The sequence below is a fragment of the Homo sapiens genome, chromosome 14, assembly GCF_000001405.40.
Source record: "Homo sapiens chromosome 14, GRCh38.p14 Primary Assembly".
Classification (NCBI taxonomy): domain Eukaryota; kingdom Metazoa; phylum Chordata; class Mammalia; order Primates; family Hominidae; genus Homo; species Homo sapiens.
In genome coordinates, this window is record NC_000014.9 from 40969378 (window position 1) to 40987231 (window position 17854).

At 33.3% G+C, this 17854-nt stretch overlaps 1 long non-coding RNA gene across 2 annotated transcripts in view; it reads left to right on the plus strand.

Annotated features, from left to right (window-relative positions):
• Positions 1-17854, plus strand: part of LINC02315 (long intergenic non-protein coding RNA 2315) — a 186338-nt gene that overhangs the window by 14667 nt on the left and 153817 nt on the right. For both annotated transcript variants that reach the window (NR_109758.1, NR_109757.1), the window contains exon 3: positions 4963-5013. This is a non-coding gene — a long non-coding RNA (long intergenic non-protein coding RNA 2315). The remainder of the gene's footprint in view (positions 1-4962; positions 5014-17854) is intronic.

Genomic DNA, 17854 nt, shown 5'->3' on the forward strand with positions numbered 1-17854 from the left:
ATTTGATAAATTTAGCAATACTTAGAGAATGAGCTACTCTGAAACTATTTGACCAAGTTGGGTAATAATCTGTTAACAGGTCAACATAAAAGATTAATATACCTTTCAAAACTGTTAGTTTTTCTTTATCTTATCATAATATATTTAACTGGTAAACTTCATCAGTCACCTTGTGAATACGTGACTTTCAATGGAAAGAAACTGCTATGATATAATGCATATAAATCATAATAAAATTTTTGAAACAAATTAATACAAATTTAAATAATCTGTCCTACATATTATTGTAGTTATGTTCACTAGTCCAAAGGGTATGTTTAAGCACAGAAATAAATTTAAATAAGAAAAATACATTTATCTTACTACCAGGCCATATCACAGAACTGTAAAATTAAATATTAGGTTGAGACCACCTGATTATTGTACATATACTTAGGAAAAATTCAGATTCCAGACAAAAGAAATTATTTATCATCTCATCTTACCTATTAAAACTATCTTGATATTCAATGATGGATGACAGAGAAAATTCAAATCTGATAGTCTTAAAACATCATACAATTATTAATTTTACATTCCTTACTAAGATTTCTTTTGCAGTATTTTAATAAATAAACACTGATTTATCAGTATGAATTTCACTGCAAGTTTGCACTTCAGGAGAACTGCTCACTCTGTGTAAATCTATTTTACTTTATACAGTAGATATGCAAAGTTGAAACAAAATCAAATATTTGCAATAACTTGGTGTATCGTGTTAACTACCGAGGGACTTTCATTCCTTTAAAGGATGTGAGGCATCAGGAAGTCAATGAACCATGGTCTTTAGAAGGGCCAAATTTAAGCAAGAAAGTATTGTCTTCTGTCTTTTGGCCATACCACAAAAGTTCCTATGAAATAGATTATAGTTAAAGGAACTGTAGCCTAATCCTTCTCATAAAAATTGTTTATTTATAAAAGATATAACATACATCATACTACCAAAAGTTTCTGTAGGTTACCAGAAAATTTTGAACCACACCTTTATTTATCCGTATTTCCAAAGATAATATACATTTAGTTTCTTTGAGTTTCAAAAGCATCCTTCTCTCTTAGAAGAGGCCTTTTGTTTCTGTGTCCTAGATTTTATCTATCAAGGTCCCAAAACTTACAAAGTCCTAGTGATCCTTTGGGAGAAGACATTTATTTATTATAGTCTGTGTGGAATATATATGTATGTGTGTGTGTATATATATATGATATATATATGTGTATATATGACAATTTATCCTTGAAACTACTCAATGTATTCACTCACCAAAATTGCATTGGCATACTTCACCTGACATGTTGTATGTTTTTACTCTACTAGGAGAGTAAAATAGAGAAGCATTTTTTTCCTCTCCTAATCTAAGAATTCTGTACCATTAACTTCAAGTTACCTCTAAGTGCTTCTTTAAAAGTCTAATATATTTCCCAATTTTTTCTCCTGAATTCATCACCTCTTTTTCTCTATCTTCAAACCTGGGATAATTCTTTCCCCATCATTAACCATGAATGAAGACCTTGCTTCTTGTACCACTGCAAATATTAGAGGCAATCAAAGGGAACCTGTATAAATTCCCCCCTACCGTATACATCCTGTCACTGCTTCTGGCTTTTGTGCCCATATGTTCTGCTTTTATTTGTCCTGTTACTAAGGATTTAACATCTGTTTAGATCTTAAGTCAACTTTTCCTCTTGCTCACTAGATCCCATCCCTTCTTTCCCACTCAAAGACATAAGTCTCAGTAATTTTTTCCATCTACATTATGAATTCTTACCTCTTTATTGGATAGTACCCTCAAGCTTACTAACATGCTGTAGTTTTTCTCATCTTAACAATTTACATCTCTTCCTAGAACCTCTCCCCAAAGTTCAAAATGCATGTACTTAATAGCTTAGTCTTCTACATGAGTGTGCATTTTAAACTTGACATGTTCAAAACCTAAATCCTATTGCCTTTTTAGAAATGTAAATTCTTGCACCCTTCTCCATCTTTTTGCTTCTAGATGCTCAGAAAATATAATTGTGTATTTTAAAGTATTCAGAATGTAACCATTTTTACTACTTTATCTGATAACATGTACAGTGGCACCACCATCTTTTCTTAGCTGATTTATTGTATTTGGCTTCTAACAGGTTTATCTGCTTCTAGCTTTGCTCCTTAAAATTTATTATCAAAGCCATAGTCAGAGGAATCATTTAATACAATGTCAAGATGCCATTCCTCATCTCTCAGAGCCTCCCATTGCTTTCTCTCCAGCTCATAATACAAGACTAAGGCTTCTTGTGACTTAGCCTGGCTCCTCCATTCCTCCCTGACTGTGTCTGCCACCCTACTCTTTTTGCTCATTCTGCTCCAGATGCTCTGACAGCCTTACTGTTTCTAGAAAAAGCCAAGCATGCTCCCGTTTTATGCCTTTTACAGTTATTATTCTTTCTACTTCAACCATTTTCCCTCATGTAATATACATTCCGTTCTATTATTCTTTCAAGTCTCTATTCAAATTTCACTTTATTTGGGTCTCCCCTGACCACCATACAGAACATACACACTTTCCAAACTGTTCATCCTGTTTATATTATCTATACTTCTCCAAATAATTTGTTCATTTCCTATTGTCCCTTACAATATATAGCTCCATTAATGCAGATGCTTTCCCTTTGTTGGTTCCTGATGTATTTCAAGGGGCTAGACCGGTGCTTGGCACGTAATAGATTCTCAACATGCATTGCTGAATGGATTGATAAAATATTGTTGGGCTATTTCAAATTTGCTGTTTCTTACTTATATAATTCCAAGGATTTAAATAGTCATAACTTTCTGGGCTTATAGGCTTATTTCTAGGTTGAAACAAGAAAATCATTAAGCCCAGTGAAACTAGCGAATGTGCTTATAAGATCTTTCAGACACAAAGTACACTTTGCTTTTAGTACTTATCTTGTTCCAATCGGTAACATTTATAGACTGTAGGAACTAATAGTAGAAATTTTATACCACATTCAGAAAGAAGAAAAATGAGAGCAATGAAAATAGGCTCATTACAGGATAAATGATGATGGAGAAGAGAGGTAACCACCCCGTAATGGAAAAAGCAAATAAATTCCCAGCAGTCTGAGTTTCACAGGATAGAGAATGGAAAACTTGATAGTTATTAGGCCTCAACATCAAACAAGATGACTATTCAAGAAGATAATCCAAACTAACTAAAATAAAAGAAATAAATTACAAAAATCAAGTGTATTGTCATTAACTGAATATTATATTATTTTTAGATTTACTACTATATGTACTTAAGAGTTGTTCTAACATAGCAAGAAATTTAGACTCTAATTTTAAGATATTTTAATTGAAAAGTTATTTAGATAACTTTTCCGGATATGTTCATGAATACAAAAAAAATCTTATCTTTTGATTTTACTGGGAAAATTAGATGTTAATGTATTTTATTTTTTCCAAGAGTTTTTTTTTATGGTTTTCTTACCAACATTAAAGCCACAGTTTTGTAATTTCCATAGCTCGTCCCATACCTTAGCACTGCTATCTGAAATTGTCATAATTGTGTTTACGTAGACCCTTGTGGTATCAAAGTTATAAAGATCTTTAGGAAAAATGGGTCTAAAAATTGGATTAAACAATTTTATTTAAAACATTATTAAAATTACCAAAATATTATTCAGTTATAAATTACAAATAAAGAAAGAATAAAGAATCTGGATACAACAGGAGGTCAGTTTAAAAGAAAGAAACAACTAGAAGAAACTAGAGCAACTTTCTTCTAATCTATATGCTTTTGACTTTCCTTGAACTAAGGTAAGTAATTAAGTTATAAATATAACTGAATATTTTCTTATATATCCCAAATCACTACCAATTTTCTTGCTCAGCTGGCCACCTTTATTTATAGAGCAATTACAACTATAATTTATATGCAAGTGTTAGCAAACCAGAATATTATTCTTTTTTCTCATTTGTAGTAGAGGCAAGTTAAAGTTCAGCAGCTAATAATTTCTCTGCAAATAAAATATCTCTATATGTAAAACTATTTATTCCTAAAATCACTTTCTTTCTCTCTTTCTCTTTTTCTGTGTATTTTTCTTGTTTCTCCTTCTCTCTCTTTCTCTCTCTCTGTCTCTCTCTCCAGGGTAAGAAGTATTTTTAAAAAAATCTACAGTTTCATTTTGAAACCATTTTTCTTCTACTTAATAAAAAACGGATGCTTTCATTCATTTATATATTGAATCATTTATTTAATGAATAGATATGACTATATATCCATTAAAATGAATTTTAATGAATTTTTATATATTTTATATATTTATATATTTAATGAGATATTCATTAAATAAATTCACTAAATGAATGATATAATATATGATATATAAATAAATAATTATATATATATACACATACACATAAAACTTGAAAAACAAGTACAGCATACTTGTTTCTCAAGTTACAATTAACCAGAGAGAATACATTTCATCTCCCACAGAGATTAAATTCTGGTGAGGAACTGTATTAGCTGAAGTATTAAGGCTAAGTTAGTGACACTGTTTGTTACTATCAGGTAGCATTTATAGAAAATAGAGTAATTATTCAATTGTTGGTGGGGAGTGTGAAATGTGTGAAAAATTGAAACAAAATGATAAATATTTATGTCCATAAATTTTTTTATGAAAAAATCAAATAATTCAAAGTTACATTACCCTGACAATTGTCTCAGTTTTTCCACCCCACAGATATAATCAAGGAGGCAATAGTAATTGCATTTTTTACTAGAGTCTTCTCACGCTTTTTAAGTTCTGTGAAGAAATGCAATCTCAGTCACTCCTATAACCAAAGCATGGACCATTTATTGTTGCATTATTGGTGGTTCAAGTGCTGTAACAAAATATAAACCAGGTGATTTAAAAACAATACAAATTTCTCTCTCACAGTTCTGGAGACTGGAAAGTCCAAGATCATGGTGCCTGAGGATTCAGTGTCTGGTAAGGGCTCATTTCCTGGTTTGCAGTAGGTTGTCTTTTTGACTGTGTCTTCACATGGTGAAAAGGAAAAACTCTGGTCTCCTCAGTCCCTTATAAGGGCACTAATCCCATTCACAAGAGCTCCATTCTCATGACCTAATAAACTCTCAAAAGCCCTACTTCACTGTACCATCATACTGGGGATAAGGGGTCAATGTATGAATTTTTGTAGAACATAAATATTCAGATCATAGCAGCTGTGAAACAAATTAATCACAAACTTAATACCATAAAGCAACAATAAGCTTTCATTATTTTACAGTTTCTTTTCTTTTTTTTTTTTTTTTTTTTTGAGACAGAGTCTCACTCTGTTGCCCAGGCTGGAGTGCAGTGTTACAATCATGGTTCACTGCAAGTTCCACCTCATGGGTTCATGCCATTCTCCTGCCTCAGCCTCCTGAGCAGCTGGGACTATGGGCGCCCACCACCACGCCCACCTAATTTTTTTTGTATTTTTAGTAGAGATGGGGTTTCACCGTGTTAGCCAGGATGATCTCAATCTCCTGACCTCGTGATCTGCCTGACTCAGCCTCCCAAAGTGCTGGGATTACAGGCATGAGCCACCATGCCTGGCCTATTTTAGAGTTTCTATAGGTATAAGTTCAGAAACAGTTTGGCTGAGCAGTTCTGTCTCTCATGAAATTAAAGTGGAGATGGCTACTAAGGTTTCAGTCATCTGAAGGCTTGACTGGGGCTGGAAGATCTGCTTCCCAGCAGTTCTTACTGCAAGGCCAGAGTTCCTTTCCACATAGACTTCTCCAGAGGGCTGCCTGACTGTCCTCATGATTTGGCTACTATCTTCCTTAAGGATGAGTGATTCAGGAGAGAGCAAGGAAGGACTGCCAAGTCTTTTATAACCAAGCCTCAGAGCCACACATCATTACTTCTGCAATGTATTATTGGCTACACAGGTGGACCCTATTTAATGTGGGAGAGGAATACATAAAAAGGTGGATATCATGAGGTGAAAATCATTGGAGACCATCTTGGAAGCTGTCTAACGCAACAAGAATTATTTTATTTATGATTTATTTGAAGTCTTTTTTTATTTATAATCTGTTTTACTTGGAATGATTGGTTATCAGACTCAGCACGTTTTCAAATCTGTATAACAGATGCTATCTTGTTTGTCATTAGGTAAGTTCACCTGAAACCCTCAGGCAAGCCTTTCAGAACTAATGCCTGTTGTAATTCCCTTATTTCTTATGTGATTTAAATTGTGAAAAGCCCATATTTCTTTTGAAAAATCATTGCTTGTCTTTTGTCTCTGATGTTAGCATGTTTTCAGGCAATGTTTTTGAAGTTAAATATATTTGTTGTTTAGAGATGACTTTTCTCTGCCCTTTTATTTTACATACAAGGGTACTAGTATCCAGAGAGGTCAAGTGGCTAAGGATGCAAAATTTGTAATAAAATTTAGGTTTTCTGAATCTTAATCTTTAGTATTTCCTTTACAACTTGCTGATAGGTGGATAGTTTTTAATAATTGCATACCTCTATAAGAACACATTCATAAATTTAGCATTAAAGATTTGTAGGCTTCTTATAATGGAACACTTCACAATGCCAGCAGCTACAAACTTTTCTCTGTATGATTTCCTTCTTTTCATTATGCTGAAGTTTCAGCTCAGCATTTCAAACACCTAAGGCAATGAAATGGAACTTACCCCAAAGAGAAAACAAAAACAGTGAAAATTTCTGGGAAAATTGTAATCTTACACGTGTTGATATCAAAGTCCTGAAAACAAAAGAAAATTTTAGAAAAATTCAACAGTATAATTCCTGTGTTATTTGATATTCTTTACTGAATAAATAACAAGTTAAGACTATAGAATCATTCAACCTAAAAATATACACATATATGTTTCCTTCAACCTTTAATGTCAACTTCACACATTTAGGTTTGGAAATATATTTCATTCCCTTTCAAATAAAGAATGGCTTTTCTCTTCTCCAACCAGATTATTTGTGTTATTAATAAAAGCAGCATGCCTAAGGGTTGAATCACTTCAGGAGTTGTAAATCAAGTGTAAAATGAAAGTTCATTTGTGGGTGGAAGAAATAATGCAGAGAGAATAGCAGGTCACCAACTATTGAACTTAGTGTATTGACATATGACACAACATTTTGTGATTCTTTAGCAGTTCATCTGTTCTTGACTTTTTGTCCTTTATAATAATATTACAAAACAAGAGAATACCAAAAAGGCTAAAACAAAGTAAAATTATGTAATAGGATGTCTTAAGCTTTGTTTTTTAATTTATCGCTTCATCAGAATAACTAATATGTGGTAGCATATCTTTAAAATGACCATGATGGATGCAAAAAGAACTACTTCATACTGCTTCATATTTCAAAAGTAAGTGCTTTGTAAAAACAAAGAGCAACTTGTGTTTATAGTCAGAATTTAGCTTTTTTTATTCCTTTTTTGAGACAGTATATCTTGTTCTGTCATCTAGGCTGGAGTGCCATGCCACAGTCACAGCTCACTGCAGTCTCTACCTTTTGGGCTCAAGCCAACTTCCAGCCTCAGCCTCCCAAGTAGCTGGGACCTCAGGTGCACACCACCAAACCCAGTTAATTTATTTTTATATTTTGTAGAGACGAGGTCTCCCTATGTTGCCTAGGCTGGTCTTGAACTCCTAAATTCTAAGTAATCCTCTGGTCTCAGCCTCCCAAAGTGCTGGGATTATCTATGTAAGCCACCATGCCCAGTCAGAATTTAGCGTGTAACAGTTAGTATTTCACACCAAACGTAACATCTCATAATGCAGCACCATTTAAAAATAAACTTTGATTTTAGAACACTTTTATGTTTACAAGAAAATGGAGCAAATGGCTTAAAGAGTTTCCATACACTTCACGCTATGTTTTCCCTCTTATTAACGTCTTACACAAATATGTTACAATTAATAAACCAATATTGATATATAATTATTAACAAAAGTACATACTTTTTAAAAAAAATTTAATTTAATAACTTCTTCCGGTTCCAGGATTCTGTGTTACATTTAGTAAGGCATTCAAATAGGAAAATAAGTCAAACTACCTCTCTTCACTGATGATAAGATTCTGTAACTAGATTTCCTAAAGTCTCTGCCAGAAGGCTCCTAGAACTGATAAATTTCTTTAGTAAAGTTTCAGGATATAGAATCAATGTACAAAAATCAGTAGCATTTCTATATGCCAACATCCAGGCTGAGAGTGAAATTAAGAACACAATCCCAGTTACAATAGCCATACAGAAAATGAAATATTTAGAATATTTAGGCATATAGCTAACCAAAAACATGAAAGATCTCTACAAGGAAAACTACAAAACAAAATCAGAGATAATACAAATAAATGGAAAAACATTCCATGCTCATGGACTGGAAGAATCAATATTGTAAAAATGGCCAAACTGCCCAAAGCAATTGATGAATTTGACATTATTCCTATCAAATTACTGACGTCCTTCTTCACAGAATCATGTCTTCATGTGCTATTTTTAGCTGTGACAGTTACTTTGATTTTTCTTGTTTATGATTACCTTTGGAGTTTTGGTAAATACAAGTTAGGTACTATGTAGAGGGTATTTCTATTAAAATTTGTTTGGTGACTTTCTTATGGTTAAACTTGTTTGTGTTCTTGGAAGGAAGACCAAAGATGTAAAGAATAACGTGGTTTTTTTTTGGTAAGTCACCCATATCATTGGCTAATTAATGTTATTATAATTCTCTAGTCTATCTATTATGTGTTCAACTCCATAGTGTTTCTATGCACCTTTGGACTTAAATCCAGGTATATTATTACTCAAGTGTGTGAGATTAGCTTGATCTTCTTGAAGTACAGATAAATGCCTACAGACTAGTTTGATACAGTCTTTAGGCTTTTGTGATATATTAATCAAACTATGTGATTTAACTATCCAAGTTCCTTTATAAATTTTAGAACAAGAAGCCCTGAAAACTATATTCAGCTTGATGACTGTAATATAAACATTATCATCTCCATCGGTACTGTACATATTAAAGACTCCATGTTATTTTGTAAATCAGAATAAATTTCCTAAGCTAGATTCTCATTGAATTAGTTTAATAAATGCTTATTAACAGTATTCATTTGAATTTTATAATTCTATCTATATTTTTCTCTCATAACTAGTAAAATTCAATTTTGATTCAGTAAGTTCTGAATATATTATCTATATTGCCTGTTCTGTAAAACTATTTCCTGGGAGTGGAATTTCATAGGACTTGTCTATCAAATATATTATGTGCATATAAGCCAGCTCCTCTGGATGTGTTAACTGGATATGTGAAACATAAGAGCCTTTATAATATGTAATAAAATTTAGTTGAAATATACTTAACATTATATTCCATTTGCCACATGAATTAATAATATGTAAGGTAGAAAATCAAGTTTAAAAAATTTGGTTGAAGTTGTTATTTTTTTTTTTGAGATGGAGTCTCACTCTGTCGCCCAGGCTGGAGGGCAGTGGCGCTATCTCAGCTCACTGCAACCTCCAGCTCCTGGGTTCAAATGATTCTCCTGCCTCAGCCTCCCGAGTAGCTGGGGCTACAGGCATGAATAAACTGTAACACACTCTATCAAGGCCCTGTATATATATTTTATATGACAGTAATCACAATAGCTGGATTATCACTTTCGAGACATCCAAAGTATATAGTCTTTCATGAGAAAGAGAGGTTTTAAGAATGAGTGCATAAACTGCCTACTGTTGACATTAGTGCTGCATTGAAACACTTGACCGTGGTTCAAATGTAGCTAAGAACAGTACTTCTCAAAGTCACCTGAAAATGTTGCTAAAACACAGATTTCTTAATTTTCTAAGGCCCATACCTGGAAATTCTGATTCAGTTGTTTGGTAGGGGCCTGAAAATTTGCATTTCTAACAAGGCCCAGATAATATTGATGTTTCTGTTCTCCCCTTCATACTTTAAAAAAGCAAACAGGTAGTAATAAACTCTTACAAGAGTGGATCTCTTCTTTTAGGGATAATATTCTGGGAATGAAGTTAGATACATAAATTAAAGAACAAATTCCAAGGGAAAAAATGGTGATAGTTCCATTGAAATTTAACTAATCTGTCATATTGAAATTATTTGTATTTTCTCATGTATCATGTATTCTAAAGCAACATGCCCCAAAAGGCATAATAGTTTTGTATCATGGTGGTTCTGTAGGGATTTTGCAAACAGTTTTCAAGAATAATTCACTTTATGAAGCTCAATCTATGTTATTTCTAAGTTATTTCCTGATAATAATAAAGAATTAAGTAGACAAAAAGTTAGATACAAATAATATAGAAAATAACACTAATAATTTAGATTTTTTTGAAGTTTTATTTTCCCACTTTTTTTGTTGTTGAAATAGTATAAATTCATTTTTTAACCTTTGTTTAAAGGAAGATTTTAATTTTTTTTGAGTGAGGATGACGTCTTTTCATATTGTGATTTCTAAATTTGTTTTTACATAATTTATGCAATCAAAATATATTATTCCTATAGAATTAAATAACAGACAGGTGTTTATTTGGCATTTCAAAAGTAAAACATTGTGAGCAATTATTAAGCTATTGTTTTGGTTTAAGATGTTATGTAGAATAATAAAAAAGAAAAATAAATATTATTTGGCAATATATGCATACCATGTTTATATTTCATGCATAATGAGACTAACTTCTGAATATTTAAATCACAATGATAATCAAATAATGCTCATTGTTTGAGATAACACTACTAATATTATTATTCTAGCCTACATTTCCAGTAATAGATATTCAATTTAAAATAATCACTAGTTCAGAAATAATCTAATTAATTCTAAACCTATATGCCTATAAGAAGTCCTAGTTATCTCTACAATAAATTCATAGCTTCTTACACTAAATACATATGGCTTCCACAAAGATAAATATATTTGTAAACCTATTCACTGTAAATTTTCCTTTATACCTTCTTTATAATTTTGCCTCAAAGCATCTTTCATCAAAAAAGAGAGAGTTCACTGGAATAAATTGAATTGCTTTGAAATGTGGTTTAGATGCTTTCACACTATAATATATTTTTTTAAAGCATGTCTTTGAGAATTTAGTAATTTTCAGATAGTTTCATCACATATTCATTTCAACTAAGGCATAATTACAAGGAGAATCAAGCTATAGTGGGACAATAAACAAGATGAATGCCAAAATGCAATTTCCTGAGTTTATGTCAATTCTCACTAGAGCTATACAACACTTTGGATATAAAATTCTATACAAAAAAATTTAATGTTTCCAATAAAATCTATATTCTAGAATAAATAATATTTTATGTTGATATAACTGTAAATCAGCTTTAGCATGAGATTTGAACAATATTTTTATGAGTTACATGTATTTGAAAAGGTTGACCTTTATCCAAACTATTTTTCTTCAATACCAATGAATAATTATTAAAACATAATTATAAATTTTTTAAAATTAAGTCCAATTAATTCAGAATACTAGGTGATAAAATGACCAATATTTGCAAGAAATTTGAACCCAATTTATATTGTATTTTTAACACTATTCTAAAATAGAATAAACATTTTTTGATACTCTTTACACCCTGACCATTCTGAGGAAATATAAAACCTTTGATTCCATTTTGACAATTTAAGTAATTTCCTGCACATTTTTAAAATCTCATTTTGCCTGAATATCAAATGAAACTAAAAATTATGAACAAAGAACACAATGATTCTTTCATAATATAGAAGAAATAAAAAATAGACTTGAAAATGGCATAGTTCCAAATATATGCATCAAAACCTGATAATTTGCAGACCTCTTTCTTCTTCTTATATTATTTTATTGGAGAGGAGTGAGGGGTAAAATATGGAAGAAGCAGAGAGAGTGAGAACAGGGGATTTCTTCTGGTGATGCGAGAACAGGGATCTAGGGAGCCAGTTAGCAGTGGAGAAAGAGGTAGCATTACCAGTTTTGCTGAAACTATGCTGCAGTGATTACGTACCATACATCCCATAAATTCCATTCCTATAGCAACAGGGATGATGGGTCCTCTGAGTCATGTTATGGTTTGCTACCTTAGCAGTTCTGATGAATTTCAGGCTCTTCTGAATCTGCCCTTCAGGTGTTGTTTGAACTGATGTATTCTGCATAACGTTGTTGAAAGAATGGGGTCCAAAGAGAGAAATTCCATTTTTCTTATCATTGGATTTAGGCTTTTCCCACTGGAGCTAATCCTGGATGCATGTGGAATTTGAATAAGTTAATAAAATTATGTTTGTCATTTTAAAATAAAATTTCTTCCTAGCTTCTAATTTCTCAATACATAGTGTCAGTTACTGAGATCTTGTTGCATTTGCGTTTTCTGATTCTAGAACACCAGAAAAAAATACTGTATATTTTATTTTAGTAAAGGTAAAATAGTAGGATTATTTGAGCTTGAGTAGCAGTTAGCTAATTTTTTCATGGATTTTTGGTTTGAAGCATTTACATTTTATATCAGTGATATTAGCCACTCTGAAATAATGTGCACAACCTGAAATCACTACAGATTCAAGAATTACAACCAACTAGGGCTTCAATCTGATCTCTTAATATTCAAGTTTATTAATGTTAGTTATAAATTTTACTAGTTACTCAAAATAATGCACGAATCCAGGTCCTAGCAAGAGCCACAATTCAACACCATTATTTCAAATGAGCAGACTTTAATAAAGACACTGCTCATATGCAAGGTCAACATTAAATAAAAACAAGAGATGGCAATGCACCCAGACACCAGCAATAGCAGGATACAATTACTCCTACGGTAGAGGGGCAAGGGAAGAAAGAGTGTTACCAATACAAAGTGAGAGCTGTAACCTGTGGTAGGGTCTGTCTGAAGCTGAGGTCCTGACAGAATCAACTAGGATAAGAGGCACCAACACAATGAGTAGGAAAGAAATGATCCATTTGGTCTTTCCCATCCTCTGGTCTCTTTTCAGATCAGATTAAATGATGCCTCTCCCAAACAAAGGCCAAAAAAAAAAAAAAAGAGAGAGTTCAGAAGGTATCTCAGTGAGGCTCAACATTGGAGAAACACAGCAGAAAAGAGGAAAACAGGTATGAGAAGAACTAACAAAAGAAATTAAAAAGTGCATAGATAAGGGAAAAACACACTGAATTCCCACGGTACAGTTTCATCAAATGTTGGGGGTTTTTTTTCCCCCTATTTCTTTCAGACTTTACCATTAGCATCTCTGTGTTTCTAAGGAACTTATGCTCCATCAGGGGCCTTCCTTTTACTACTTGGCCCAAGTGCCCTATTTTAGAAGTCCACACCAATCACTCTCAACAAGGAAACTTTGCAACCTAAGGACAAAAGGAAGAGTAGGAGGAAGAGATGGATAGGGAAAAGAGAAGAGGAAGGAAAGCAGAAAGGACATTTTTCTGGCATATTACATATAAACCTTTTCTTAATATGGTTCATGCTTACCTAAACTCTCCTTTTTTAATACTACATTGAATACTCCAATGCTTCTCCATTTCTGAGTATGATGAGACTAATTGTACAAATAGATTTTTGTTTTTTCTTATTTTTGAAATTTACCTTCACTGCTGAACACCATCTTGACTTGGCAAAGATTAAAACTCTCATAAGTGTTTTGTGTTTGTTTGCTTGTTTTTTTTTTATTTATTTTTAATTTTTGTGGGTACTTAGTAGGTGTATACATTTATAAGCTCCATAAGATGTTTTGATATAGGTATGCAATGTGTAATAATCACATCATAGAGAATAGGGTATCCATCCCCTAAAGCATTTACCCTTTGTGTTACAAACAATCCAGTTATACTCTTTTAGTTATTTTGAAATTTACAGTTATATTATTATTGACTATAGCCCCTCTGTTGTGCTAGCAAACACTAGATCTTATTCATTCTTTCTAGCTATTTTTTTATACCCGTTAACCATTCCCACCTCCTTCCCACTCTCAACTCCCCACTATCCTTCCAGGCCTCTGGTAAACATCCATCTATTCTCCATCTCCATGATTTCAATTGTTTTGATGTTTAGACTCCACAAATAAGTGAGAATATACAATGTTTGCCTTTCTAGGCCTGGCTTATTTCACTTAAACATAACACCAGTTTCATCCTTGTTGTTACAAATGACAGGCTCTCGTTCTTTTTTTATGGTTGAATATTCTCCACTGTGTATAAGTACCACGTTTTCTTTATCCATTCATCTATTGATGGACACTTAGATTGCTTCCAAATCTTGGCTACTGTGAACTGCACTGCTACAAACATGGGAGTGTAAATATCTCTTCGGTATACTTATTTCATTTATTTTGGGTATATGCCCAGCAGTGGAATTGCTGAATCATATGGCAGCTCTATTTTCAGTTTCTTGAGGAAACTCCGAACTGTTCTCTCTAGTGGCTGTACTAATTTACATTCCTACCAATAGTGTATGAGGGTTCTCTTTCCTCCACATGCTCACAAGCATTTGTTATTGCCTGACTTTTGGATAAAAGCCATTGTAACTGGGGTGAGATAATACCTCATTGTAGTTTTGATTTGAATTTCTCTGATGTTCAATGATGTTGAGCAACTTTTCACATGCCTGTTTGTCATTTGTATGTCTTTATTTGGGAAATTTCTATTTAAATCTTTTGCCCCTTTTAATCAAATTATCAGATTTTTTAAGGGAGTTATTCAAGCTCCTTATATATTCTGGTTATTAATCCCTTGTCAAGTGAGTGTTTGCAATTATTTTCTCCCATTTAGCAGGAATGTTGTCTCTTCACTTTATTAATTGTTTCCTTTGCTATGCAAAAGCTTTTTAACTTGCTATGATCCCATCTGTCCATTCTCCCTTTGGTTTCCTGTTCTTGTGAGGTATTATTTATAAAATGTTTGCCCAGACCAATGTCCTGGAGAGTTTCCCCAATCTTTTAGCAGTTTCATAGTTTGAGGTCTTAGATTAAATCTTTTGTATATTTTGATTTTTTTGTATGGTGAGAGATAGGGTCAAGTTTCATTTTTTCTGCATATAAATATCCAGTTTTTCCGGCACCATTTATTGAAGAGACTCCTTTCCCCAATGTATGTTCTTGGCACATTGGCTGAAAGTGAGTTCACTGTAGTCTTGTGGATTTGTTTCTGGGTTCTCTATTCTGTTCCATTGGTCTGAGTCTGTTTTTATGCCAGTACCATGATGTTAAGCTTAGTATAACTCTGTCGTATAATTTGTAGTCATATACTGGGATTCCTCCAGTTTTGCTCTTTTTGCTCAGGGTGGCTTTGGCGATTCTGGATCTTTTATGATTTCATATACATTTAGGATTGTTTGTTCTGTTTCAGTGAGGAGTGTCATTGATATTTAATAGGGATTGAACTTAACCTGTAGATTGCATTGGGTAGTATTCACATTTTAACAATATTGATTTTTCCAAACCATACTCATGGAATAACTTTCAGATTTTTGTGTCCTCTTCAATTTCTTTCTTCAGTGTTTTATAGTTTTCATTGTAGAGATCTTTCACTCTTTGGTTAATTGTTCTGTATTTAATTTATGTCTACTGTAAATGGGATTACTTTTAAATCTCTTTTTCAGATTATTCATTGTTGGCATGTGAAAATGCAACTTATTTTTGCATGTTGATTTGTATCCTGCAACTTCACTGAATTTGTTTATCATTTCTAATAGTTTTTTTAGTGGAGTCTTTAGTTTTTTCCAAATATGATATCATAGTATCTGCAAACAGTGATAATTTGACTTCTTCATTTCTAATTTGGACTCCCTTTGTTTCTTTCCCTTGTCTGGTTGCTCCAGCTAGTACTTCTAGTACTATGTTGAATAACAGTGGTGACAGTGGGGATCCTTGTCATGTTTCAGATCTTTGAAAAAAAAAGGTTGTCAGGTTTTCCACATTCGTAATGATACTAGCTGTGGGTCTGTCATATATGGCTTTTATTATGTTGAGGTATGTTCCTTCTATACCTATTTTCTCTAAGATTTTTATGATAGAGGGATGTTGAATTTCAGAAAATGATTTTTCATCATTAATTGAAATGATCATATGGTTTTAGTTGTTCATTTTGTTGATGTGATGTATCACATTGATAAATTTGCATATGTTGAAACATCCTTGCATCCCAGGGATCAATCCCATTTGGTCATCTTAAATGATCTTTCTAATGCAGCAGTCCCCAACTTTTTTGGCACCAGGAACCCCGATTTTGTGTGTGTGTGTGTGTGTGTGTCTGTTGGCGGGGGGAGGCTCAGGATAATTCAGGCACACAAGCTTTATTGTCTACTTTATTTCTATTATTGTTACATTCTAATATATAATGAAACAATTACGCAATACACCAAAATGTAGAATCAGTGGGGGCTCTAAGCTTGTTTTCCTGCAACAAGAGGGTCTAATCTAGGGGTGATGGGAGATAGTGACACCCGAAGTGTTTGCTTGTGTCCAGTCTACTCCACAATCTTGTTTTGGTTGCTGTCACTGCATAAAACCCTGCTTCACAAAAATGGGATGTTGGAAATGGAGGTGGCTTTTCAATGCTTTTGTGAAAATCTCAGGATATTTTACCTTGACTCTAATATAGAATGAATGGAGATTTAAAGTTGTCTCATACATACTTTTAAGGTCATCATAATTTGCAATCTCAAGCAGTTGATCCTCTTCCAGCTTGGATAAAGCCCATTTACCTGGCTTATTCACAAATGGGTTGTGGATCCATTGTTTGCCAGTTCTGGGGGCGTTTGTGTTGGAAAGTAATGCTCAAACTCTTTTGAAAGCTGAGATAGGTGATCATGCACCAGCTGCAAGAAAGAAGGCCCTGGCTCAGTCTCTTTCAAAATCTCTGCTAATATTTAAACATGTCAAAAATACGAGTGTTCACTAGTTGTCCCCATAATTCCACTCACAGTTACTGTTCTCCCTCAAAGTGACAGATTGAGTTCATTGAGCACGTTGAATATGTCACATAAGTAAGCAAGTATTGCAACCCATTCTGTGTCACTGAAATGTACTACCAGTGGTGACTGTTTTTGTAAAAGAAATCTCTAGAGTGGCTTTTACAACTCAAAAATTCTGTCCAGTGAAATACCTTTAGAAATCTATCTCACTTCTGTATATAAGAGAATACATGTATAATCTGCATCCATCTCCTTACAGAGATGCATGAACAGATGAGTTAAGGGCATGTACCTTAATTGGTTGATAATTTTAATCACATCCTGCAAAATGTTGTTAAGTTCAGGTGACATTTTTTGGCTAGCCAGCATTTCTCTATGGATGACATGGTCTGTAAACTCACATTAAGAAGCAATCTTTTTGACCCAACTAGAGAAACCAGAAAGCTGTCCAATCTTGGCAGCTGCTAGGTCTGTGCATATATGGGCATAAAATTACCAATGCAGTTTTCCTGATATGTAATCATGCAAAAATTTGAATAGTTCTGCAGCTGTGGCATTGGTTGGTAACTGGTGTACATAACATATCTGCATGCTCATCATCCTGGAAAATGTACCTTATAAAAACAAGCATTGTTGCCTTGTTGTCAACATCAGTAGACTTGTCAACCTAGATTGCATACCACAGCGACTCATTAATCCTCTCTAACAATTGTGCTTCAATGTCCTCTGCTATTTCATCAATTCATCTACTTATGGTGCCAGCCAAAAGAGAAACATGAGCCACCTTTTGAACTGCAGCCTCCCCCAGCAGTTCACCGCAAATGTCCTTAGCACAGGCAGGATTAACACTTCACCAATAGTAATGGGCTTCTTAGCTTTAGAAATTA